This window comes from Homo sapiens, chromosome 11 (assembly GCF_000001405.40).
Source record: "Homo sapiens chromosome 11, GRCh38.p14 Primary Assembly".
Lineage (NCBI taxonomy): Eukaryota > Metazoa > Chordata > Mammalia > Primates > Hominidae > Homo > Homo sapiens.
Genome location: NC_000011.10, coordinates 32,968,827 through 32,996,527, shown reverse-complemented (window position 1 = coordinate 32,996,527; position 27,701 = coordinate 32,968,827). Strand labels below are relative to the sequence as shown.

The following is a 27,701-nucleotide window of genomic DNA, read 5'->3' as shown; positions in this document are numbered from 1 at the left end:
TAAAATTTGTATGGAACCAAAAAAGAGCCCAAATAGCCAAGGAAATCCTGAGCAAAAAGAACAAAGCTGGAGGCATCGCATTACCCAACTTCAAACTATACTACAGGGCTACAGTAGCCAAAACAATATGGTACTGGTACAAGAACAGATACATAAACCAATGGAACAGAATAGAGAACCCAGAAATAAGACCGTGCCCCTACAACCACCTGATCTTCAACAAACCTGACAAAAACAAGCAAGGAGGAGAAGATTCCCTACTTAATAAATGGTGCTAGGAGAACTGGCTAGCCATATGCAAAAAACTGAAACTTGACCCCTTCCTTACAACACATTACAAAAATCAGCTCCAGATGGATTAAGGACTTAAATGTAAAATCAAAAACTATAAAAACCTTAGAAGAAAACCTAGGCAATGTGCCATTCAGGATATGGCATGGGCAAAGATTTCATGATGAAGATGCCAAAAGCAATTGCAACAAAAGCAAAAATTGACAAAATCTAATTAAACTAAAGAGCTTCTGCACAGCAAAAGAAACCATCAACAGAGTAAACAGCCTACAGAATGGGAGAAAATTTTTGCAATCTATCCATCTGACAAAGGTCTAATATCCAGCATCTATAAGGAACTTAAACAAATTTACAAGAAAAAACAACCGCATTAAAAAGTGGGCAAAAGACATGAAGAGACACTTTTCAAAAGAGGACATACATGCATCCAACAAACATGAAAAAAAGCTCAACATCACTACTTATTAGGGAAATGTTAATCAAAGCCATAATAAGAAACCATCTCATACCAGTCAGAATGGCTACTATTAGAAAGTCAAAAAAACAACAGATGCTGGTGAGGTTGTGGAGAAAAAGGAACACTTTTACACTGTTGGTGGAAGCGTAAATTGGTTCAACCATTGTGGAAGACAGTGTGGTGATTCCTCAAAGACCTACAGGTAGAGATAGCATTTGACCCAGCAATTCATTACTGGGTATATACCTAGGGGACTATAAATCATTCTATTATAAAGATACATGGATATGTATGTTCATTGCAGTACTATTCACAATAGCAAAGACATGAAATCAACCTAAATGCCTATCAATGAGACTGAATAAAGAAAATGTGGTACATACACACCACGGAATACTTTGCAGCCAAAAAAAGGAACAAGATCACGTCCTTTGAAGTGACATGGATGGAGCTGGAAGCCTTTATCCTCAGCAAATGAACACAGGAACACAAAACCAAATACCACATGTTTTCACTTATAAGTGGGAGCTGAATGATGAGGACACATGGACACATGGGGGGCAAACAACACTCACTGGGGCTTGTTGGAGGGTGGGTGGTGAAAGGAGGGAGAGCATCAGGAAGAATAGCTAATGGATGCTGGGCTTAATACCTAGGTGATGGGATGATCTGTGCACAAACCAGCATGGCACACGTTTACCTAACCTGTACATCCTGTACCTGTACCCCTGAACTTAAAATAAAAGTTGGACATAAAAAAAAACACCTCTGTGGCTCATGCCTGTAATCACAGCACTTTGGGAGATCAGGGTGGGAGGATCGCTTGAATCCAGGAATTCGAGACAGCCCGAGTAACATGGCGAAAACCCATCTGTACTAAAAATACAAAAAATTAGCTGTAGTGGTACACACCTGTAGTCCCAGCTACCCGGGAAGCTGAGATGGGAGAATCACTTGAACCCTGGAGATCAAGGCTGCAGTGAGCTAAGTTGCACCTACTACACTCTAGCCTGGGCAATAGGAGTGAGACCCTGTCTCAACAACAACAATAACAACAACAGGAAAAACTGGAATATTCTGGAGGCCATGTGCATTTTGCACACTGTACACATGTCCAGAAAAAAACCTGAGAAGGTTCTAATCTCTCACCTCTGGCTGACTTGTAGGTGCTGCAGAAGAAGGAAGTGAAGATGAAGGCAGAGTTATAAATTGCCAAAGCATTGATAGCATGCCCAAACACACATAGAGATCCTTGGTAAAGGGCAGAAGACTTATTGGTTCAAAGCATTTAAGGAAATGTCTGTGCAATCATTGGCTGGTCACTAAGCTAAATGAGCAGAGACTTCTGTGGCCACACATGGTAAATACTACAAACTTTATAGAATTATACCAGGAAAGTTACTAAACAAATAACAGCAGCAACCAGAACAAACACAAACTACAGCAAAACCTGGCTTGAGGTGGGTATATATCCAGATTTACCACATTATAGTGCTTAAAATATTTAATTATCAACAAAAATTAAGACATGCAAAGAAATAAGAAAGGAGAACAAATGTACAGGATAAAAATTATCAGTAGAAACTGACCCTGAGGAAGCCCAAAGACTTCAATTCACCCATTATAAATATATTCATGGAATTAGAAGAAAAGATGTTTAAAGAATTAAAGGAATGTATGAGAACAATGTCTTACATAATACAGGATATCAAGAAACAGAAATTATAAAATAGAGTTGGGGCCGGGCACAGTGGCTCATGCCTGTAGTCCCAGCACTTTGGGAGGCTGAGGTGGGCAGATCACTTGAGGTCAGGAATTTGAAACCAGCCTGGCCAACATGGTAAAACCCCGTCTCTACTGAAAATACAAAAATTAGCCAGGCGTGGTGATGCATGCCTGTAATCCCAGCCATTCAGGAGGCTGCGGCATGAGAATCACTTGAACCCAGGGGGCAGAGGCTGCAGTAAGCCGAGATTGCGCCACTGTACTCCAGCCTGGGCGACAGAGCAAGACTCTCTTAAAAAAAAAAAAAAAAAAGAGTTTGAAAGCATAATAACTCAAGTGAAAAATTCACGAGAGGGACTCAACAGCATATTTGAGCTGGAAGAAGTAAAAATCAGCATACTTGAAGATAGATTGATTGAAATTATCCAATATGAGGAATAGAAAGAAAAAGAAAGAAGAAAATGAGCAGAGCCTGAGAGACCTGTGGGACATCATCAGGTGTATGAAGATGCCCATAATGGGGTGGCCAAGAAAGAAAGTAGAGAGAGAAAGGAGCTAAAAGAATATTTGAAGAAATAATGACTAGAATGCCATGGTCTGAATATTTTCCCCAAAATGTATGTGTTGGAAACTTAATTCCCAATGCAACAGTGTTGGGAGTGGGGGCTTAATGGGAGGTATTTAGATCATGAGGTCTCTGGCCTCATGAATGGATTAATGCCACTGTAAAAAGGGTTTGTGGGAATAGGTTTACTTTCTTTCATTCTTTTGCCATGTAAAGGCACATTGTTCATATCACCTTGCCCTCCACCTTCTTTCATTCTAAGGCACAGCAAGAAGGCTCTCAACAGTCACCAGATACAGGTACCTTGATCTTGGACTTCCCAGCCTCTAGAACTACGAGAAATAAATTTCTGTTGTTTATAAGCTACCCAGTCTGTGATATTTTAATATAGCAGCACAAAACAAAGACAAAATTCACCACAATTTGATGAAAAATATGAATCAACACATTTAAAAAAACTCAATACTAAGCTGGTTTTGGTGGTGTGTGTCTACAGTCCTAACTCCTCAGGATGCCGAGGTGGGAGAATTGCTTGAGCCCCAGAGTTTAAGACCAGCCTGGGGAACATAGCAAGATCGCATCTCTAAAAACAAAAACAATTGTATAAAGCAATAGTCAGTAATTATAAAACTGTGTTGCTCTTGTTGCATAAGGCAATAATCAGTAGTTTTAAAACTGTGCTGATCTGCGTTGATGGACTTTCAATGTATAAAAATAGATTTTATGTAACAATAGCACAAAGGAGGGGGAAGTGAACAAAGTGGAACTATGTTGGAGAAATGTTTTTATATATTATTTAAATGAAATTGTCATTAATCTGAACTAGGCTGTTTTAAGTTAAGATGTTAATGATGATTTACAGATAAACCACTAAGAAAATAATTCAATAAATATATAGTTAAAAGTCCCAGGGAGTCAGGCATAGTGACTCACACCTGTTATTTCAATGCTTTGGGAGGCTAAGGCAGGAGGATTGCTTGAGACCAGGAGTTTGTGACCAGCCTGAGCAACAGAGTGAGACCTTATCTCTACAAAATAAAAATAGAAATAAAAAATGGCTGGACATGTTAACATGTGCCTGTAGTCCTAGCTACTTGGGAGGCTGCTGAGGGGGCAGAATCATCTGAGCCCAAGAGTTTGAGGCTGCAGTGAGCTGATTGGGCCACTGCACTCCAGCCTGGGTGACAGATTGACACCTTGTCTCAAAACTGAACATAAAGCTCAGGGAATTAAGATGGTACACTAGAAAATCTATTTAGCACAAAAAAGGCAATAATGGAAAATGGAAAAAGAAAAAAGACATAAACCTTTAGAAAACAAATAGCAAAATGTCAGAAAGAAACCCTACTTTATTATAATGACATTAAACATGAATGGATTAAAAACTCTACTCAAAAGACAGAGATTGGCAGAATGGCTTAAAAAAAAGCATGATCCAACAATATACTGTCTGCAAAAGATACAGGTTAGATTCAAAGACATGGATAGGTTAAAAGTAAATAAACATTATCAGGCAACTAATATGTACTTAACAGTGTGCTAGGATTGAGGTATAAAAAGAGAAATAGGACACTATTACCTGTTTTCAATTTCCATATGGTGGGAACAGCTAAGATGTCTAAAAACAATTCCATGGCCATGTGAGAAGTGATAGAAAACAGGATGCTCAGAATTATTTGGGATCACAGGAGGAGTTTCTCAGACTGTCTGAGGGAAAATAGTAGTCTTCTCTATGGAGCTATGTTAAACTTGAGTGTTAAAGGATGTTTACTGGATAGAAGAGGAAGGGGAGGAGGAAGACTTCTTGGTAGGCAGAAGAAATATGGTCAATAAAAGCATGAAAGCATGCTTAAAATGGCGTGCTCAGCAAAAACAAAGAAAAAAACTTGTGTAGCTTCAGAGTTGTGTCTATAATTATAGAGATGGGAGATCTAATGGGAAACTAGGTAGGAAATATAAGGTGGGCCACATCATGACCAGTCTGGTAATCAAGGAGACAAATTCTGGTGACAGTGTGCAGATTAGATTGGAGGATTACGAATCTGGGGGCAAGCCAGATGCGGTGGCTCACGCCTGTAATCCCAGCATGTTGGGAGGCCAAGGCAGGCAGATCACAAGGTCAGGAGTTCGAGACCAGCCTGGCCAATATGGTGAAACCCCGTCTCTTCTAAAAATACAAAAATTAGCTGGGCGTCGTGGCATGTGCCTATAGTCCCAGCTACAGGCTGAGGCAGAAGAATCGCTTGAACCCAGGAGGTGGAGGTTGCAGTGAGCCGAGATCGTGCCATTGCACTCCAGCCTGGGTGACAGAGTGAGACCTTGTCTTAAAAAAAAAAAAAAAAAGAATCTGAGGGCAAGGAGACCAGTGAAGCATGAAAGAGACAGGTGATAAGGACTTGGTCTAAAAAGTACTATTAGTTTGTACTGAAGGGAAGTTAGATGGAGGTGGGGAAGGGAAAGTTGAACAGATTTCTTCCTTCCTTCCTTCTATGCGTATTTCTTCTGCACCTATTAATTGATGTGTATGGTGCTCAGTGAATGTATAGAACTAGGTGGATGATTAGATGTGGTCAGAGAATGAAAGTATCAAAAATGATTTCTATTATTTCTAGCTCAGTCAACTGTGGATAGGGAGGGTATCCTCACTTTTAAAATCAAGGTAAAAGAATTAGAGGAAATTTCCAAAGAATTTAATTTATCAATATATCAAACTCAAGACCTTTTATAACTGATGGCCATTAATTTTGGTAAAAAACACATAGTATAGACTTTTACCCTCTTAATCTTTATTTATTTATTTATTTATTTATTTATTTATTTATTTATTTATTTATTTTAGACAGGGGCTCACTCTGTCACCAGGCTGGAGAGAAACCACATGATCATGGCTCACTGCAGCCTCAATCTCCTGGGCCCAAGCAATTCTCCCTCCTCAGCCTCTCAAGTAGCGTAGACCACAGGCATGAACCAACATGCTGGGCTAATTTTTTCTTCTTTCTTTTCTTTTTGTAGAGATGGGGGTCTCCCTATGTTGCCCAGGCTGGCTGTTTAACTATTTTAAGTATACGGTTCAGTGGTGTTAACTATTTTTCACTTTCTTGTGTACCAGATCTCTAGAAACTTTTTATTTTGCAAAACTGAAAGTCTGTATCCATCCCACAACTCCTTTTTTCCCCTCTCCCAGCCTCTAGGAACCACAATTCTGTTTCTATGATTTTGACTACTCTATATACCTCCTATAAGTGGAATCATACAGTATTTATCTTTATGTTACTGGCTTATTTCACTTAGCATAATGTCCTCAAGGTTAATCCAGGTTGTAATATGTGGCAGGATTTCCTTGTATTTTTAAGTCTGAATAATATTCCATTGTATAGATATACCATATTTTCTTTATCTGTTCATCTGTCAATGGGCATTTAGGCATTTTTGTAATTGTGAATAATGTAATTAATATGGGTATGCAAATATCTCTAGACCCTGCTTTCATATCTTTTGGATATGTATCCAGAAGTGAGATTGCTGGATCATAAGGTAATTCTATGTTTAGTTTGTTGGGGAATATCCTTACTGATTTTCCATGGTGACTGAACCATTTTACATTGCCACCAGCAATGCACAAGTGTTCCAGTTTTTCCACATATGCACCAACACTTATTTTTTTTTCTTTATACAATTTTTAAAAAATATATAGAGTCTCACTGTGTTTCCCAAGCTGGTCTCAAATTCCTGGGCTCAAGTGATCCTCCTGCCTCGGCCTCCCAAAATGCTGGAATTACAGACATCAGCCACTACTCCCTTCCCTCCACTCCCCTCCCCTCCACTCCCCTCCTCTCCCCTCCCCTTCCCATCCCTTCCCTTCCCATGGCCATCCTAATGGGTGTGAGGTGATACCTTGTTGTAATTTTGAATTGCATTTCTTTAATGGTTGGTGATGATGAGCATTAATTCATATGCTTGTTTGTATTTGTATATCTTTTTTGGAGAAATACGTGTTCAGGTGCTTTGCTTGTTTTTTAAATGGGCTACTTTTTTTTTGTTTTTGAGTTGTAGGAGTTCTTTATGTATTCTGGATATTAACCTTTTATTAGATGTGTAATTTGTAATTATTTTCTTTAATTCTGTAAGTTGCCTTGCACTTTGTTCTTTCCTTTGGTATGCAGGAGTTTTTGAGTTTGATGTAGTCCCATGTATCTATTTTCACTTTCATTGCCTGTGCCTTTGGTGTCATATCCAAGAAATCATTGCCAAGTACAATGTCATGAAACTTTCCTCCTATGTTTTCTTCTTCTAAGAGTTTTATAGTTTTAGGTCTTATATTTAGGTCTTTAATCCATTTTGAGATAAAATATCTTATATAGTGTAAGGTGAGGTTCCAACTTCCAACTTTCATGGGTGGATATTGTTCTATCAGCACCATTTGTTGAAGACACTGTCCTTTCCATATAGTGTGGTTGTGGCACTCTTGTCAAAAATTATTTGTGCAAAAGAACAGAAGAAAATTCAGTTGACCATATACATGAAGGATTATTTCTGGGCATTCTATTCTGTTCCATTGGTCTGTGCATTTGTCTTTATGTCAGCACCACACTGTTTTAATTACTATAGCATTGTAATGTGTTTTTAAGGGAGGAGACCACCCCTCATATTGTCTTATGCCCAATTTCTTCCTCCAAAGAAAGAAGAAGTAAAAACTAAAAGGTAGAAATGGAATCCACAGGCAGATAGCGCAGCACCACGCCCTGGGCCTGGTAGTTAAAAATCAACCCCTGACCTAACTACTTGTGTTATCTATAGATTTCAGACATTGTATGGAAAATCATTGTGAAAATCCCTGTCCTGTTCTGTTCTGTCTGATTACCGGTGCATGCAGCCCCCAGTCATGTACCCACTGCTTGCTCAATCGATCACGACCCTCTCATGTGGACCCCCTTAGAGCTGTAAGCCCTTAAAAGGGACAGGAATTGCTCACTATGGAAGCTCGGTTTTTGAGATGTGAGTTTTGCCGATGCTCCTGGCCGAATAAAGCCCTTCCTTCTTTAACTTGGTGTCTGAGGGGTTTTGTCTGTGGCTCGTCTTGCTACATTTTGAACAGACTGCAATATTGATAGGGTCATTACTTCTGGTATTTAGCAGATGATTTAATAGAAATTCATCTGGGGTCCTGCTGTCATTTATGGCAGCAGTCCCCAGCCTTTTTGGCACCAGGGACCAGTTTCATGGAAGAAAATCTTTCCACAGACCAGGAGTGGGGGTGATGGTTTTGGCATGAAACTATTCCACCTCAGATCATTAGGCATTAGTTAGATTCTCCTAAGGAGCATAAGATTCTAGATCCCTTGCACGCGTGGTTCACAGTAGGGTTCTGCTCCTATGAGAATCTAACGCCGTGACTGATCTGACAGGAGGTGGAGCTCAGGCAGTAATGTGAGCAATGGGGAGTGGCTGTAAATAGAGACCAAGTTTCACTTGCTTGCCAGCCACTCACCTTGTGCTGTGTGGCCTGGTTGCTAACAGGCCACAGACTGGTATCGGTTCACGGCCTGGGGGTTGGGGACCCCGATTTACAGGATATTGAACTAATATTTCTCTTCGTGTTTAGAAAAAGTAAGCTAATGTCTGGGTGCAGTTGCTCATGCTTATAATCCCAGCACTTTGGGAGGCTAAGGTGGGTGGATCACTTGAGGTCAGGAGTTTGAGACAGCCTGGCCAACATGGTGAATCGCTGTCTCTACTAAAAATACAAAATTTAGCCAGACTTGGTGGCTGATGCCTGTAATCCCAGCTACTCAGGAGCCTGAGGCAGGAGAATCACTTGAACCTAGGAGGTGGAGGTTGCAGTGAGCCAGGATCATGCCATTGCACTCCAGCCTGGGGGACAGAGAGAGAGACTTCGTCTCAAAAAAATAAAAAATAAATAAAAAATAAAAGCTAACTTTGTGTGTGTGTGTGTGTGTGTGTGTGTTTTAAGATGCAGTCTCGCTCTATCACCCAGGCTGGAGTCCAGTGGTGCAATCTCAGCTCACTGCAACCTCTGCCTGCCGGGTTCCTGCCTCAGCCTCCCAAGTAGCTGCGATTACAGGCATGCACCACCACACCCAGCCAATTTTTATATTTTTAGTAGAGATGGGGTTTCACCATGTTGGTCAGGCTGATCTCGAACTCCTGACCTCAGGTGATCCACCTACCTCAGCCTCCCAAAGTGCTGGGATTACAGGCATGAGCCACCACACCCGACCAATGCTGATCATTTTTCTGTATACCTGCTAGTCATTTGTATGTCTTCAGAGAAATGTTTACTTAGGTCCTTTGTCCTTTTAAGAATTGTTTTCTTACTACTGATTTGTTTCCCTTCTCTCAAGATTACTGTCCTGTGCTGCACATTGTTCAATGTTTGAAAACAATTTTCACTTCTTTTGTCCTCACTTTTAAGTAAAGCAGAAAGATACATCTGGCCCTGTTAGTCCATGATGGCTCAAAGTAGAAGTTGCCATTAGCATTTTTGCCTTTATCCTAACAACAGTAGGTAGCACTGATGGATTTCCAGTGGGACTCACATGATCAGAGTTGTTTGAAAATCAGACGGCTTTGTGGAGAATGGACTAAAGGAAAGCAGTTGGGAAGGGGGAGGCAGCAGTTCAGAGATTATTATAGTAGTCCTGGCATGAGATGATGGTGGTTTGGACCAAAAAGAAGACAGAGGAGAGAGATAGGGAAAGGTAAGATTTATTTAGGAACTGACAGGATACAATTCCCTTTGTGAAGTTCAAAGAATATGACTCAATGGCAAAGGTCTCTACTACTGGTCTTTATAGTCTGTGCTAAAAGTTAATCTGTGAACATCTGAAAATCCTACAGCAGAAGAGAAGAGTGTAAATAAATGATGTTCTTGCTTCTGGATAGACTAGAGAGAGAATTTTAAGCCCATCAGTGATGACTATCTGCAAGGCTTTCACCTTTTCTGTGCTGTAGCTGACACCTCAGTCAGTGGTTGTTATGGACCTCATGTTTGTGTACTCCTGCAATTCTTATATTGAAGCCCTAACCCCCAATGTGATAGTATGTATGTATGTATGTATGTATGTATGTATGTATTTATTTATTTATTTTGAGACTGAGTCTTGCTGTGTCGCCCAGGCTGGTGTGCAGTGGTGCCATCTCGGCTGACTACAACCTCTGCCTCCTGGGTTCAAGAGATTGTCTTGCCTCAGCCTCTCAAGTAGCTGGGACTACAGGCGCCCACCACCACACCCAGCTAATTTTTGTATTTTTAGTAGAGATGTGGTTTCACTATGTTGGTCAGGTCGGTCTCAAACTTCTGACCTCAAGTGATCCTCCCACCTCAGCCTGGCAAAGTGCTGGGATTACAGCTGTGAGCAACCCTGTCCAGCCCCAATGTGATAGTATTTAGAGATACTTTTGAGAGGTAATTAGAGTTTATTGAGGTCATGAGGATGGGGATCTAATTATGGGATTAGTTCCCTTATAAGAAGGTACACCAGAGGGCTTGCCATCTCTCTGCCATGTGAGGGCTGTCTGCCAGCAACTGACCCTGCCAGCCTTGATCTGGGATTTTTAGGCTCCAGAATTATGAGAAAATGAATTTCTGTTGTTTAAGCCACCCAGTCTATGGCATTTTGTTATGGCAGCCTGAGGAGACAAAAATAGTGAGGCTCTCAGCTATAGCAGCCACAGCGATGACTTTTCTTTTTCTTATCTCTTTTTTTTTTTTTTTTTTTTTTGAGACAGGGTCTCGCTCATTCAGGCTGGAGTGCAGTGGCATGATCGTAGCCCACTGCAGCCCTAATGTCTCGGACTCAAGTGATCCTCTTGCCTTAGCCTCCCAAGTAGCACCACCACACCCGGCTAATTTTTAAAATTTTTAGTAGAGACAAGGTCTTGCTTTGTTACCAGACTGGTCTTGAACTCCTGGGTTCAAGCAATCTGTCCACCTTGGCCTCCCAAAGTGTCGGGATTACAGGTATGAGCCACCATGCTGGTGGACTTCTTGTATTTCTCATTTGGATGGCAGAATATTTGTTCATGAGCAGTATGGGCACAGTTAAAGCAAGTTTTTGTTTTGTAGTGCCTTTAAAATATGCTTTAATATGTAATCTTTTTGATAGTGGATTGTTTGCAAACTCCTGTAATAATGTTAATGCATTCACATTAGCGTCAGCTATGAAAAACCCTAACTTCTGACTTCTACTTAAGTCAAATATTATCTTCTAACAAACTCAATGGAGGACTGACATTATAAAGATCTTCTACTGAGTGACCCATAAACAGTTCTTAAGTCATTGATAAATTCTAAGTAAACAAGGTTAATTTTAAAACTTCATTCTAAAGCCAGGTTCTTTCTGTTAGCCTGTTGCTAGTGTTTTGAATTCTCTTGCTTCACTGCTCCAAGATACCTGCTCTCTGATGATAGCCCATTCACTTCCATGGATTAAATAGAAATTCAAAATACAAATTAGGAGAATGGACTCTGGTATGTTGTGAAGTAAGCAGAGTGAGGAGAATTAAAGAGTGATATGAAAATAATTGGTAATGTAAGAGAGGTGCTTTCCCTTAAAAACAGAAAGGGAGGCTGGGCGCAGTGGCTCATGCCTGTAATCCCAGCACTTTGGGAGGCCAAGGTGGGCAGATCACGAGGTCAGGAGATTGAGACCATCCTGGCCAACATGGTGAAACCCTGTCTCTGCTAAAAATACAAAAATTAGCCAGGGGTGGTGGCGGGCACCTGTAATCCTAGCTACTCAGGAGGCTGAGGCAGGAGAATGGCTTGAACCCGGTAGGCGGAGACTGCAGTGAGCCGAGATCACGCCACTGCACTCCAGCCTGGTGACAGAGCGAGACTCCCTCTGGAAAAAAAAAAAAAAAGAAGAAAAGGAAAGCAGGGAATGTACCACTGACAACAGGGTATTTTGACCTATTTTAAGAGGCCAGTTTGAAAACACTTTAAACTGATTCCAAGTAAACTCTCATTTATATATTCACCCATCTATGCAACACACACCTATTAGGTACCTATGGAGTGAAATACTTTGTGCTGTTGGAGATATAAAGATGAAGACTATGTACATAGACTCTAAGCATTTCAAAATTGACTGGCGACACGACGTCTCTAATTAATTTTACACTAGTGTCACAAGATGAACTAGATTGCTAAGGTGTGTGTGTATGTATAAAATAGCTGATTAATGGTTTTGAAATGAATCTTGCAAGATAGTGAAAAATGTAGTAAGACCTTTCCATTCTTACTATTCTGCTGCTCTGATCTTCTGGTGCTGCTAACTGAGACGCTTTGCATTTCTCCCAACATTCCGGTCTATCTAGAATCAAAGAATATTAATAGCTTTAAAAGACTGTTTCTTACTTCACTTTCAGGATGAGAAAACAGATTCAGATTAGGTTTCACATGGCATGCCTGAGGATCGAGCTAGTTTCGTGGCAAAACTGGAGGAGAAACCATCCTCCTGAAAACAAAGCATTATGCCTTCTTTGTCAGCCAGCTCTGTTGTCTTCCTAACCGCTGAGGTTCAGCTAATCATTGTTTCCATGAAATCTTCCCTTACCCTCCTCAAATAGATAAACTCCCCCTACCAGAGTGTTTTGTTCATGAGTCCATCTCACAGAAACTTTATTTTTTTAAGACAGGGTTGCCCAGCTTGAGAGCAGTGGTGAATCATAGCTCACTGCAACCTTGAACTCGGGCTCAAGCAATCCTCCCGCCTCAGCCTCCTGAGTGTGACACCACCTCAGGCTAAAAAATTTTTTTTGACAGTACTTTCTTCCCCAATTATTCTATTGGAGAATCTCAAGCCCCAGATAGAGGAATGTATGTCCTGGTCCCTGAGCTCTTTCTGCATGTGAGGGCAAAATGTAAAAAATGATGGCTACTGCATTTCACTTTGATAAAATGTCAGCTATTTTTGTTGATGTAGTCATTTTCTTCTGAAGTTGCAATTCTCCTAAAGTTGTGTCTTTATTACAAAATCCAACGAATACTTTCCTGTTCTTAACCTTTTTAATATTCCCTGTGACTTTTTTTCATATGTCCAGTTATTTGCCAAATGTTTAATGAGAATATACTATGTTCCAGACAGTGCATGAGATGATGGGGATGCAGTGGTGAGCAAAACTCATAAGTCCTATTATCAGATGATAGGACCCAGCAGCAAAGAAAGTCCAGCAATCACACAACCACAACAAAGCATCATAAATGCTATGCTGGAGGAACTGAGGGCACTTAATCTGGTCCATTGGATTAAAACCTAATCTGGGCCGGGCACAGTGGTTCACATGTATAATCCCAGCACTTTGGGAGGCCAAGGCAGGAAGATCTCTTAAAGCCAGGAGTTCGAGACCAGCCTGGGCAACAAAGAGAGACTCCATCTCTACAAAAAATTTTAAAATTAGCTGGGTGCAGTGGTGTGTGCTTGTAATCCCAGATACTCAGGAAGCTAAGGCAGGAGGATTGCTTGAGCCCAGGAGTTCAAGGCAGAAGTGAGCTGTGATGGTGCCACTACACTCCAGCCTGGGTGACAGAGCTGAGATCCTATCTCAAAACAAGGGAACAAACAAACAATAAAACCTAATCTGGTTCAGTAGAAGTGAAGTTAAAGTGAAATCTGAAGACTGAGATGTGAAGAAGACTAATTCAACAGGAGGAACAGGAAGGACTGGAGGCAAGGGAAAAACCGTATACTTTCAGGGAATTTAGATGCCCTCAGGCCTGGGCCACCATGGGGGAGGGCAGGCAGGTGAAAGATATTCCTGGATGCGGTTTTAGAAAAACATTTCTACTATGCCCTTTATTTTTTAATCTATGTCTTAAATTTTGTTGTTGTCTTATTCTAAATACCTTAAGGAGTAAAATTAAAAGAAAATCTATACTTTAGGTGAAAATAGTAAACTTTGCCCACGGGTAAATTATATGCAAGACACATTATTTCTGTAAAGCAATATCTTGACTCCTGATTAACATCATAAAATAGATAAGGTTTAACAACAGACCAATTGGTAATTGTATCTTCCTTTTATTTGAAACCAGTCAGCTCTAAATTATTCATCCTACCTAAAGAAGAGATATATACATAACCTAAAATGATCAATAACCCATATCATTTTTTTATTTCACTTTAGAATGTGCTTTGTAATTTAAACATTGGTATACCAAATTTAGGAATTCACTTAAAGCTATGCTACAGAAAAGGAACAACCCATAGTACCAAATCTTGTAACCCATCCCATATTGAACTGAAAGCATGTTTTAGGCCAGTATCAAGACTTAGTATGGCCAGGTGCAGTGGCTCAGGCCTGTAATCCCAGCACTTTGAAGGCCTAGGTGGGTGGATCACTGGAGTCCAGGAGTTTCAGACTAGCCTAGGCAACATGGTGAAACCGCATCTCTACAAAAACTACAAAAATTAGCACGGTGTGGTGGTGCGTGCCTGTAGTCCCAGCTACTTGAGTCTGAGGTGGGAGGATCCCTTGAGCCCAGGAGGTGGAAGCTGCAGTGAGCAGTGATCGCACCACTGAACTCCAGCCTGGGCAATGGAGGGAGACCCCACACCACCTTAAAAAAAGCCTCCACTGAGAGTAGCTTATCTCTTTCTTTACACTTTTCCCTATTGTTTTGAGTTTTTAAAAAACAAGCCAGAGTAGCTTTACTATTTTACGAGTAATAAAATATTTCTATTTGGAAAACCAAAGAGTAGAAGTAACCTCTTTCACTTCTTCCTAGAGAAGGTTCAGGTTCAGTTTATAGAGTGTGTCTGAGACAAAGTATAGTAAAACAAACAAAACCAGACAGTAGGCCAGGCGCAATGACTCACGCCTGTAATCCCAGCACTTTGGGAGGCTGAGGTGGGCAGATCACTTGAAGCCCAAAGTTTGAGACCAGCCTGGGCAACATGGCGAAACCCTGTCTCTACCAAAAATACAAAAATTAGCCAGGCGTGGTGGCTCGTACCTAAAATTCTAGCTATTTGGGAGGCTGAGGCTGCAGTGAGCTGAGATCGGGCCACTGCACTCCAGCCTGGGCAACAGAGCAAGGCTCTGTCACAAAAACAAAACAGAACAAAGACAGTAACAAAACATTAACAGAGCAGTGTAGTGTATGTGCTGTCATTCAGGTTTATATAGATCACTTGAATAATGACTATTTTCTAAAATATTTTGAGGAAAATACTAAAATGAAAATATTAAAATTTCAGCAAACAATGGAGAATAAAACAGATGTCATAGAACCAAAAAAAATTTTTCAGACTTTACTGAGATGATAAATATTTGATGCAGATCATTTATTACAATATTTATTTTCTAGCTGTATAAAGGCATGAAGATTCAGTGCTTTTATAATCCAAACTACAAGAGAGCAAGCACATTTGACAGTATCTTCACTTGAAATACTTAATATGCTAGAAATATTATATGAAGATTAAGGCAGAATCTTACTCAGAAAATCAGCTCACTAGTCCAGTCAGGACACGTTTTTATTTTTTTAACTTACTCAATAGTTGTATAGAGATGACAGAAATAGCTTGATATTATCAATTACTTCTAGCTATGGACTATTTTCAGATAAACAAAACTAGGAAGATGTAAGTTAATGGATTTATAAGTTAATGGATTTATACTTTTTTTTTTGATGGAGTCTTGCTCTGTCACCAGGCAGGAGTGTAGTGACGCGATCTTGGCTCACTGCAACTTCTGACTCCCTGGTTCAAGCGATTCTCCTGCCTCAGCCTCCTGCGCAGCTGGGATTACAGGCACGCGCCACCACGCCCAGCTAATTTTTGTATTTTTAGTAAAGATGGGGTTTCACCATGTTGGCCAGGACAGTCTTGATCTCCTGACCTCATGATCCACCCACCTCGGCCTCCCAAAGTGCTGAGATTACAGGTGTAAGCCACTGCACCCACCTGGCAGATTTATAACTCTTTATAGGTGGAAAAGGACTAAAAGAGTTATATCTTAAAACAGAAACTCTTAAATATGGTCTGCCATTGTTAGCTAAGGATGCATATTCATCAAATACTAACTTAAAATAATCTGAGAAAATAATGGGTGGGCCCTATGCCATTTGTAACTAATAACTGTTTAGTTTGTGTGAGGAATCTGTAACATGATGATGATTTTGCCTATATGATACCTGTTTTCAATTCTTAAAAAAACAAAAGAAACAACAACAAAAAAACCCCAAACATTCTGATTTTCTTGTTTAAAAAAATTGTTTTCATTTTAATGATCTGAGTTAGTAACAAACAAATGTACAAAATTGTCTTTCACATTTCCATACATTGTGTTATGGACCAAATGAAAACGCTGGACTACAAATGCAGGTTTCTTTATATCCTTAACTTCAATTATTGTCACTTATAAATAAAGGTGATTTGCTAACACATGCATTTGTGAACACAGATGCCAAAAATTATACATGTAAGTTAATGCACAACCAAGAGTATACACTGTTCATTTGTGCAGTTATGCGTCAAATGCGACTGACACAGAAGCAGTTATCCTGGGATATTTCACTCTATATGAAAAGCATCTTGGAGAAATAGATTGAAATACAGTTTAAAACAAAAATTGTATTCTACAAATACAATAAAATTTGCAACTTGCACATCTGAAGCAACATTTGAGAAAGCTGCTTCAATAACCCTGCTGTTATATTGGTTTTATAGGTATATCTCCAAAGTCATGGGTTGGGATATAGCTGCTTTAAAGAAAATAAATATGTATATTAAAAGGAAAATCACACTTTAAAAATGTGAGGAAAGCTTTGAAAACAGTCTTAATGCATGAGTCCATCTACATATTTTCAAGTTTTGGAAACAGAAAGAAGTTTAGAATTTTCAAAGTAATCTGAAAACTTTCTAAGCCATTTTAAAATAAGATTTTTTTCCCCATCTTTCCAATGTTTCCTATTTGATAGTGTAATACAGAAATGGGCAGTTTCTAGTGTCAACTTAACTGTGCTAATTCATAAGTCATTATACATTTATGACTTAAGAGTTCAAATAAGTGGAAATTGGGTTATAATGAAAATGACAAGGGGGCCCCTTCAGCAGCCACTCATCTGAACTAGTAATAAACACCAACACAAAATGATTTTTTATATTAAATTTTTTTTAGATCTCTAAAGGTAGGAAAATCCAATCTTTCTTAAAAATACTTTCCTGGGTTGTGGCAACATGTGCTTTACCTCTTTAACTCTACCTAAAACCTAAAGTTATTTCTATAGTATAAATTTCAAACTCCCTGGCAAGGAATGTAAATGCTAACCAGCTAGGTATTTATAGTCATGCGCCGCATTACAACTTTTCAAAGACAGACCGCGTATTTGACAGTGGTCCCGTAAGATTATAATACCATATTCTTACTGTATGTTTTCTATGTCTAGATACACAAATACCATTGTGTTACAACTGCCTACAGTATTCAGTACAGTAACATGCTGTACAGGTTTACCATATAGCCTGGGTACGTTGTGGGCTATGCCACCTAGGTTTGTGTAAGTACACTAGGATGTTCGCACAACGGAATTGCCTAACAATGCATTTCTCAGAATGTATCCCTGCTGTTAAGCAACGCATGACTGTATTTAACTTCATACAAAGCGATAACTCATGGACGGCTGTCATAATAACATTTCCACTTTTCTCTAAGGCCTGAGGTTGACATCTTTGCCTATGCTCTATGGATCAAATGAGAGAAGATGATGCATCTACACAATAGGGTCTCTTTGAGGCAGTATCATAGACTTGGCCTCCCATATTATGAAAACCTTTGTTGTACTAAAATGAATACAACTGCAAGCAGTTTGAGGGCAACTGCAGTGCCAAAGGAAATGGGTTATTTTCTATGGGAAATGTAAGATTCATCTTAAGGAAACATCTTTGTTTGCCACGAGGCATATCATGAAGAAAATGTGGCTAGTGAATTCAAACATCGATTCCAAGAGCTACCTAAATTAAGGTGGCTTTAAAAAATATTTAAATTATCAATGATTTAGGAACGTAGGCTGGAAGAGTAATATAAAGATGTATATTTACAATGCCACATTAGGAAATGTAGTTCCCTACTCTGCACTTTGGAAACGAAAGACATCAATTCTGTCCAGAGTCAATACTATCATATGGCTGCTTCCTACTCCTCTCCACTTGGAAAATTCATTTTATGATGCTCCCACTGTTGATACTCTGCATCTCTCATATGAGTTAGGCAAAATGAATCTAATAGGTTACTTTTGTTTTCAAAATAAACCACCCAAACAGGTTTTTTAAAACTTTCAAAAATGGAACATTTAACCCTTGAGAGAAACTTCCATTACTGAGTACCTAGTCTAATGGCAAGTACAGTATTAAGGATTATTGCTTTTAATAAGATAACCATCAGAAATAAATATGTAAGCTTAACTCAAATACTCATTTTTCACCCAATGCTACAATGTTTTATTCTCAAATCAAATCACATTACCTTCAATTCTTTGCCAGTTTACTGAGGTTTTAAGTATAAAAAGTTGGCCTGTTAACTCAAAAGCAAGACAATAGCAATATCCGCGTGTCTTATTTGGGCATTGAGCAGTAACACTGCTTTCTTGATAGGATTTAAGGCACTAAATGGTGGTAAAATAAACAAAAGGATGATGATTAACTTCTTTAGAATCCTAAAAAAGGAGATAGTTTAGAATGACACTAGTACATCTTTTTCTCAAACAAATAAGGCATCCTGTTGGCAAACACAAATAAAACACAAGGTCATGTTGAACCTAATACATTCACTGTCTCAGCTAAACTACTTGAAACGCTACCTATCAAACCTAAGAAAGCTACAATAGTGTGTATAAAGGCTGGAAAGGCACCAAAAGGAGAGCTCTACAACTTCCAGTTCTAAGAGTTAAGGAAGCTGTGTTTAACACTGCAAATAGTCTAATTATCAGTTTTATTCTTCAAAATGTAAATGTAGTTAGATTTTTACCTCAACAAGTTAATCAAGTGCTAGTTTAGTAAGAAGTTTATTTTATGAATTAGAAAATTACTGCAGTGTCTAACACAGCCCTATTTATAAAGCTAAACTAATTCTAGTACTGAATGCATATTCTGGATAACACTGAAGCAAATCTGTATGAAAAAAATGGTTACCTCAAGATAGAATTCACATTAGAAATTCAACATATAACTAAGATTTACTGAAAATAACAAAAGGTGTTGTAGAGATATATCAAACGTAATTATAACCACAACATTTTCCTTGTGAAAAATACAACTATCAGTGAAATAAAATGTACAATTGAAAATTTTCCAAAGGAAAAAACAGTATAAACGAAAATACTTTTCTTTGCGATAGGGAAAATAGTATGTCATTGTTTTTTTATCACAATATAATTTGACACAAAAAGCAGTCAGAGAATTGCACCAATTCCACATCCAGTTTCCTGAACATGTTAAGAGTAAAAGGAGTCTGTAAAGCAGAATAGTTTCCAAATTTTATATTTTAAATTGATGATATTCTTATACAGGATGTCACACCACACCAGACCTCTTTACATAATGTACAGTATTTCTGGTTTTGTGGCCAGATGTGAGTACAAACATATGGTTTCTGCCACTTCTCTGTCATTCTGGTGTTTAGCCGGAGTCAGAAAAAAAAAATCGTTACTTTAAGTGTTACTTCTCTAGCAATAAAAAAAAATTATACTTAGTGCATGCTTCATCATTTGTCAAAAAATGTTTCTGAAAATATGACTCAAGTTACCCAATGGTTTACAAAATAGAAAAATCATTCATTAGGGTAAAAATGTGGTGGGATTTAGGTCCATTTCCAGAGGACTAACTTCGTTCCTAAAGGCCGCACCACTGTCCTTCAGCAGAGGTGGTAATGACAGTTCCATGATGGAAGCGGCCGGCCTGCAGAAGGCCACTACTTGACATCTGATTATCTTTGACCACCCCATATCTGCCATTTCATTAGTGCTATAAAAAGATGGGATTTTTGTGGAAAAGTCAGGAACATTTCTGCTGTACATGATTTAGAAGTTCTCCAAATTTTTCAAAGAGGTCCTCCACCCATTTTACATTTTTCATACAAAGTTGAACAATTTCCTCCTGTCCTAAATCTTCATTTTTTTTCTGCACCGAAGAAATCTAAAAAAAGAAAATCGCCAAATTAGCTTATACTTATCACATCATATTTAAGTTCAACTACAAGTACTGGTATTTTATTTTTTTCTTAATCCTATCCATGGAGAATGATTATTTCAGCTAAATTTGGGTGAGATCTCATCCTCTCATCTTTGGCTCCAAGGTGGCAGAAAGGAAGGCTAGAAAAAGTACTTCAGACTTTCTCCATTTCTTCCAATTACGTTAAAAGTCAAATGACAAATTTTGGAGTCGATTCTGCATTTTAGAGCATTGTAAAAACAGTGAACCTATGTTGCATCACCATCTTTGCTTTCTCTTTTGCTATATAAAGGTTAGATTTATGAGCATCTTTCCATACCAGACTACTGTCAAACACATTAGATATAGCCTTGGACCCTTTATAATGAAAAGAAGTGATAGTGCTGGTCAAATAAGGTAGTATTGTCTACAACCATTTAGCATGGCTGTGGAAATTAATGCTTATATCCCATCCATGAGGTGATATTTTGTCATGTATAATCTCTGAACAACTTAAAAGCTACAATTAAATTTTAACTTTCAGTTTTTCATGCCAAGGCACAAAACCCCACTTCTCTGCAATTAAGTGGGATAAGGCCATTCTAAGTAATAAGTAAGGCAGTGAGATGTCAAAGCAGTGACTGAAGTGAATTAAAGCAAGATCATCATACACTGTGAGAGAACAAAATGCAATAAAACATCATTTATTATGGCGATGTAAAGCAAGCACCAACAGCTTCAAAACATTACCAATTATAGCTCCTACAAGAGGTGGTGAGGCTCGGGTAAATCTGAGCACAAAACATAGCAGAGAGACTCAGAACAATAAATCAAGTCATTATTTACAGAATACATAGACAAAATACATACACACATGTATTTCACAACTCTCTTTAAAACACTCCAAAATACTATGGCTAGAGTCTCCTTAACATTCTGAAAAACATTTTTTTTAAGTAAATGAGAAGAAATTACCTCATCCTTACATATCAGATAAACATGGTACTTATAATGATGGAGTGAATGATACAAAGAATACAACTGTATTTTCTCTGGATCGACAGCAAACTCCTATAAAAAGAAAAAAGTTTATAGATACATTTCATGGAGTATCTGAGCTAAGAACACTTTGAGGAAAATACTAGATCAAAAGTCTCAATGGCAATGTTGAAAATGACATATATGGGTAGGTATTCAGTTGGGTTAATATGGAGAGACTTATTCAAAATAAGAATTTAAATTATATTTTAAAATCTTATTCTTTATCCTGCATATAAATATGCATTATTGAAAAAACTTAAGCATTATAGGAAAATTTAAACAATAAACATATGAGATGATTTATAAAATAAAAGCTCCCTATAATCTCCTGCTTCAGAGCTAAACAAAGCTAATGGCATGTTATATATTTTTTAATGTTTTCCCCCAGGTATAACATGTATGTTAATAACACTAATTTTGTAATGAGAAGGGAATCACACTATACATATTGTCTAGCAACTTTTCTTCTTTCTTCCAACGTGTTTTTTGACCTAACTAATAATTGGCTATCTTTTCATTTAGTACATATAGCTGTCCCTCCCCATCCTCCCCAAATACAAACTATATGAGGGTAAGGACTTTTAACCAGTTTTCACTGTTGTATCTCTAGTACTTAGAACTGTACTTGGCATACTATAGGCACTCAAAAAAATTTTTCTGAAAGAATGAACAAATCTATCTCTTCTTTATAAAAAGCACGTAGTATGACATTACGTGGCTCTTCATTTATCTAACCTCACACTGGTGGTACATAATTGGATTGCTCTTACAAACAATTCCACAATGAGCAAAGGTATGTATTTTTATGCATTTCTGAATCTATTTCTACAGAATACTTTTTTTTTTTTTTTTGAGACAGTGTCTCATTCTGTCACCCAGGCTGGAGTGCAGGGGTGCAATCACAGCTCACTGCAGTCTCAATTCCCTGGACTCAAGCGATCCTCCCACTCAGCTTCTCAAGTAGCTAGGACTACAGGTGCATGGCACCATGCCTGGCTAATTTTTTTTTCTCCCCCCAGGGTAGACATGGGGCCTTGCTTTGTTGCCAAGACTGGTCTCGAACACCTGGACTCAAGTGATCCTCCTGCCTCAGCCTCCCAAAGTGCTGGGATTATAGGCTTGAGCCATTGTGCTTAGCCCTGAATACATTTTTGCTGTGAAGTTGATATGTTGCCAAACTGTTTTCTGAAAAGGTTATAACAATTTATACTATGTTTGAAGATGAACAAATTCCAATTTTAATGACTTTGCAGATATGAAATAAACATTTCATCTTTTTATGGAATGTGTTCTGCACACTTACTTATCTATGTGCATGCATATACAATTAAAAATATACCTATATTACAAGTAATGCATATGTTAATGAGTTTGAATTAGCCATTTCACAATGTACACACATTTCAAAACATTTTGTACATAATATATGCAATTTAAAAAATGAAAAACTACCTACAAATATATAAACATGAGCACGAGATGATTTCTTCCATATTAGTCAATTTAAGAAATTTGTGAGCACATATTATATGCCTGATACTGTGCTATAGAAAAACAATAAACCACCATGCGTCCCTGTTCCTCAGGCCAGTGACGCTTATTCCTACCTGAAAAACCTTCACACTTAATGACAACATAGTAAAATATTTGCTTGTTTCAATGTTTTAAGTAGGAATTGTATTAACAATTGGAAAAGGTATAGTTACATTAATAATCAATTACACTTACTTGTGCAGATTTGGTGGTTGTTTTAGAAGTCCTTAGAGTTTTCTTATTATAGGCTTTGCCATTCATTTTGATTTTAGAAATAGCAGTTCCTCCACTCTTTGCTTTAGAATCTCGAGTAATTATTGTTAGTTCAGGAAAACTTTCCAAAGCATTCTGGAAAACAATGAAGCAAAATAACTGACACCAGAAGAAAACTAACCTAAACTACTTCTAGCTATCTAAAATTTAGAAGTGTGTGTGCACACAAACACCTATTTGCAGAGAGGTGTGTGTGCACACAAACACCTATTTGCAGAGAGGTGTGTGTGTACTGATGGGATATGCATACATATACATACACAGGTTGGGGTTTAAACATGGTCATAAGCTCTTTGCAGCCCTTCCTATTGGATATGTAATCTATTTCCCTTAAATCCCTTAAATCTGAGCCAACTCTATGACCTGCTTATTTAAGCAACAGCACACCACACTGGGAACCCTTAACAGGGCCAAGAGTTCTTTCTAGTAATGTCTCTGGCTTCAAGGCAGGAGAAAGGAAGACATACATGTTTCACTAAAGCCCTACCACTTAAACCACTGCTTGCCCCGTGAAATGTGGCTGGGCCTTGCTATAAAGAAGTCATCTGCCTCTGGTGAAGATGACGACAGAGGAGAAGCGGCACTGTAGTGCTTCTCTGGCTTCACTCTTCTCTTGCTTATTTTGACTGCAAGACAAGTACTTGTAAGATAAGATCCTAAAACAGAGCATGATGGGTTTTTTGACAGTGGTTATGTGGCAAAACCAATTCCACTCCATCCTTTAAAAGCCACTGGTGGCCAGGAATGGTGGCTCATGCCTGTAATCCCAGCACTTTGGGAGGCCAAGGTGGGCAAATTACTTGAGGCCAGGAGTTCGAGACCAGCCTGACCAACATGGCAAAACCTTGTCTCTACTAAAAATACAAAAATTAGCTGGGTGAGGTGGTGCACACCTGTAATCCCAACTACTCAGGAGGCTGAGGTAAGAGAATCGCTTGAACTCGGGAGGCAGAGGTTGTACTGAGCTAATATCATGCCACTGCACTCCAGTCTGGGTGACAGAGAGAGACTCTATCTCTAAATAAATAAATAAATAAATAAATAAATAAATAAATAAATAAATAAGCCACTGGCCTATTTATGCCCTTACCTACTTGGCAAATCATTCTGCCTGACTGAAAAGCTACAAACAATAACTGAATGATACTTGTGGCAACATTTAACTAGTTTGATTATGACTTTATAAAAATTAAATCGAGCTCCTACCATCATTTATTATTTTGACACTAAAAATGTTGAAGTCCTCCTATTATATTTATGATTCAGAATGCAGTCCAAATTCGATAAGCGCAAGTGTTTTATAAACAGTTACAACCTTTAAAGCCACTCTTCTCCAAACTCATCTATTGTTTCCAAGCACCTGGTATTGGGGCCCTGAAAACAGTACTGTTTTGTTTTTTTTTTTTTTTGAGATGGAGTCTTGCTCTGTCATCCAGGCTAGAGTGCAGTGGCGTGATCTCGGCTCACTGCAAGCTCTGCCTCCTGGGTTCACGCCATTCTCCTGCCTCAGCCTCCCGAGTAGCTGGGACTACAGGCGCCTGACACCACGCCCGGCTAATTTTTTGTATTTTTAGTAGAGATGGGGTTTCTCTGTGTTAGCCAGGATGGTCTCGATCTCCTGACCTCATGATCCGCCCACCTCGGCCTCCCAAAGTGCTGGGATTTCAGGCGTGAGCCACCGCGCCAGTCCCGAAAACGGTACCTTTTTAAAAACAGGCAACCTAAATTTTTCTTAGTATAAGTGTAGAAGGGCACTAAATTTCATTTGATAGAAACAATAACACTTTTGGCATTTTCTACCACAGTGAGCTACCATCACGTTCGAGCTTCGTTCCTTTCTCAGATTATTTGTGCACTTATCATGTACTCTGGTGTTTTCTATTTAAAACATGCACCTTGACAATTTTTGGATCCAGAATTATTATTTGCAACAAATAGAATTTAAAGTCTAAAGATTCTAAATTTGGAAACAACACACACTAAGTCAGTGGAGATGAAAGAAGAAAATTTAAATCTTTCCAATGACCACAAAATGCTTAAGATGATCTGAAGTACACAGATTTCAGAAAAAGGCAGAACATCATTACCTTGAAAAAGCTTCAGGACTCCTAACATCACCAAGATCAACATAGGAAAGCACACTAATTATTTCTAAAGAACAGAAAAATCTTTCTTTCTCTACTATTTGTAATATTTTACTTCAGATCAGTCTAACTCTTAATATTATGTAATTTTGCTTTGAAATGCAAATTGCTAAGGCTGGGCATGGATTACACCTGTAATCCCAGCACTTTGGGAGGCAGAGGCAGGCAGATCACTTGAAGTCAGGAGTTCAAGACCAGCCTGGCCAACATGGTGAAATCCTGTCTCTACTAAAAATACAAAAATTAGCCAGGCCATCCCAGCCACTCCAGAGACTGAGGCAGGAGAGGAGGAGGTTGCAGTGGGCGGAGATCGCGCCACTGCACTTCAGCCTAGGAGACAGAGCGAGAGTCTGTCTCAAAAAAAAAAAAAAAAAAAAAAAAGCAAATTGCTTTATATGACAATTATCAAAATTAATAACTAATAACAGAATTAGAAATCTTGTTAGAGAACTGGTTTGACATTTCAACAGTGATTAGCCAAACCTGGTAATTTTTAAGATTTAGTAAATCTTTAGAAAACACCTATCTAAAAATGTTCCCTTGTCTCCACAAAATATAGTATTTCACAAGAGAATATTTCATTTATTTAAAGGCAGCAGTTAAGCAGAAAACACTGGGCTAGGGCTGGGTGCCGTGGCTCATGCCTATTAATCCCAGCACTTTGGGAGGCGGAAGTAGGCGGATCACTTGAAGTCAGGAGTTCGAGACCAGCCTGACCAACATGGTGAAACCCTGTCTCTACTGAAAACACAAAAATTAGCCAGATGTGGTGGTGCATGCTTGTGGACCCAGCTACTTGGGAGGCTGAGGCAGGAGAATCTCTTGAACTCAGGAGGTGGAGATGGCAGTGGGCTGAGATCACACCACTAGACTCCAGCCTCGGCGAAAGAACAAGACTCCATCTCAAAAACAAAAACGAACAAACAAAAACTGGACTAGGAGTCAGGAGACCAAATTCTTAGTACTGGATTTCTTACTAGCTTCTAAATTTTTTTTCTTCCTGCGAATACATGGCAGTGAAGAATACATGACTACTATGATAGTTTTGTGTCATTTAATTTTGAATGCAATCTAATGGCCTCAGTTTTCACCTAATTGAAATGAAGTCAATACTCACTTTTACATGGAGTTCACATAAAACAGGGATGTGAACAAGTTATACAAATGTATAATATTGTTACCATCAATTAAAAAATGTTCCCTAAGGTAGATATAACCAAATGATTCTTGATGTGATATTATACTTTGAATAAGAAAGGCTACGGAGTAATCATTCTGTGATTCTCTCCCATGTGCACGTTAATAAATTTGCATGCCTTTTCTCCAACTGAAATAAAAAGCTCGGCCGGGTGCAGTGGCTCACGCCTGTAATCCCAACACTTTGGGAGGCCAAGGTGGGCGGATCATCTGAGGTCAGGAGTTCGAGACCAGACTGGCCAACATGGTAAAATCCTGTCTCTACTAAAAATACCAAAATTAGCCAGGTGTGGTGGTGGGCACCTGTAGTCCCAGCTACTCAGGAGGCTGAGGCACAAGAACTGCTTGAACTCAGGAGGCAGAGGTTGCAGCGAGCCAAGGTTGTGCCACTGCAATGTAGCCTGGATGACAGAGCTAGACTCTGTCTCAAAAAAAAAAAAAAAAGAAAAGAAAAGAAAAAAAGCTAGAAATTTTTAAACTACCAAGTTAGCTTCTATGAAAAATTATCTGAGTTGAGTTTAGATTAGCTTTTTCTATATTTCTGATAACACCAAAACCAACTTATATTGCCAAGATATATTAACATATAGAATTATATACATTTCCTACCCTTATAAAAATCAGCGTTTCCTCTGATATTGAATAAATGAGGCAAGTACGGTGAATTTTGATAACTGTGCTAAGGAAAAGCTAATTTTAATTACAGACAAAATGTAAAAATTTTGAAAAGCGTTAAAAGAACATTTGGAAATTATTTTATAGAAGATATAATAGATAACTATAAATGCCTAAAAAATAAATTTAAGTGGAGAAAAGCAAGTGATTAACACTAAGCAGACAAACTAAATGGACTTACAATGAATAAAAGCCAAATTTTCATTAGGTGAAAAATGTTGTAAGTGAATAATTTTCATAAATTTCCTTCCTATTATACTTAAGACTATGACTGCCATTGAGTTTTGCTAATAAGTCATCAGAAGGAAATACCTTGAATGATTGATCCAAATGAAGATTCAAAAGAAGTCTCTTTCGGTTATCATTTAGCATGCCATCTATTTTTTTCATATGAGGTAAAAGTAGCTCATCTGAAACAACATTATAATTTAACAGGATAAACTATCAATAAATATTTTTGAAAAAAATCCAACTTTTTCTCAAAACATTTATATATTAAAATACACTAAATTCATTGGCATATGTAAAATACTGATTGCAAAAAAATTGGACATGAAGCTTTCTGAACAAAGGTTAACTTGAAAAGTAGGTTTATAGTAGCAAGTGAGAAAGAGGCAGCTCAGTATGAT

At 38.5% G+C, this 27,701-nt stretch overlaps 1 protein-coding gene and 1 long non-coding RNA gene across 9 annotated transcripts in view; one reads left to right on the top strand and one right to left on the bottom strand.

Annotated features, from left to right (window-relative positions):
- The window catches only part of LOC105376615 (uncharacterized), a 59,453-nt gene that overhangs the window by 19,263 nt on the left and 12,489 nt on the right, over positions 1-27,701 (top strand). The window lies entirely within an intron of this gene.
- Positions 16,258-27,701, bottom strand: part of QSER1 (glutamine and serine rich 1) — an 87,460-nt gene continuing 76,016 nt past the window's right edge. For 4 of the 7 annotated variants that reach the window (XM_047427611.1, NM_001076786.3, NM_001416036.1 and 1 more), the window contains 4 exons: positions 27,385-27,482; positions 22,979-23,131; positions 21,185-21,280; positions 16,258-20,194 (listed from right to left, as the gene is read on the bottom strand). In XM_047427611.1, coding sequence (XP_047283567.1) covers positions 20,054-20,194; positions 21,185-21,280; positions 22,979-23,131; positions 27,385-27,482 — 488 coding nt within the window. In that variant the 3' untranslated portion in view covers positions 16,258-20,053. Of the gene's footprint in view, positions 20,195-20,897; positions 21,281-22,978; positions 23,132-27,384; positions 27,483-27,701 lie in introns of those variants that run through there. The other 3 variants (NM_001416039.1, XM_017018330.2, NM_001416037.1) reach the window with 2 other exon arrangements.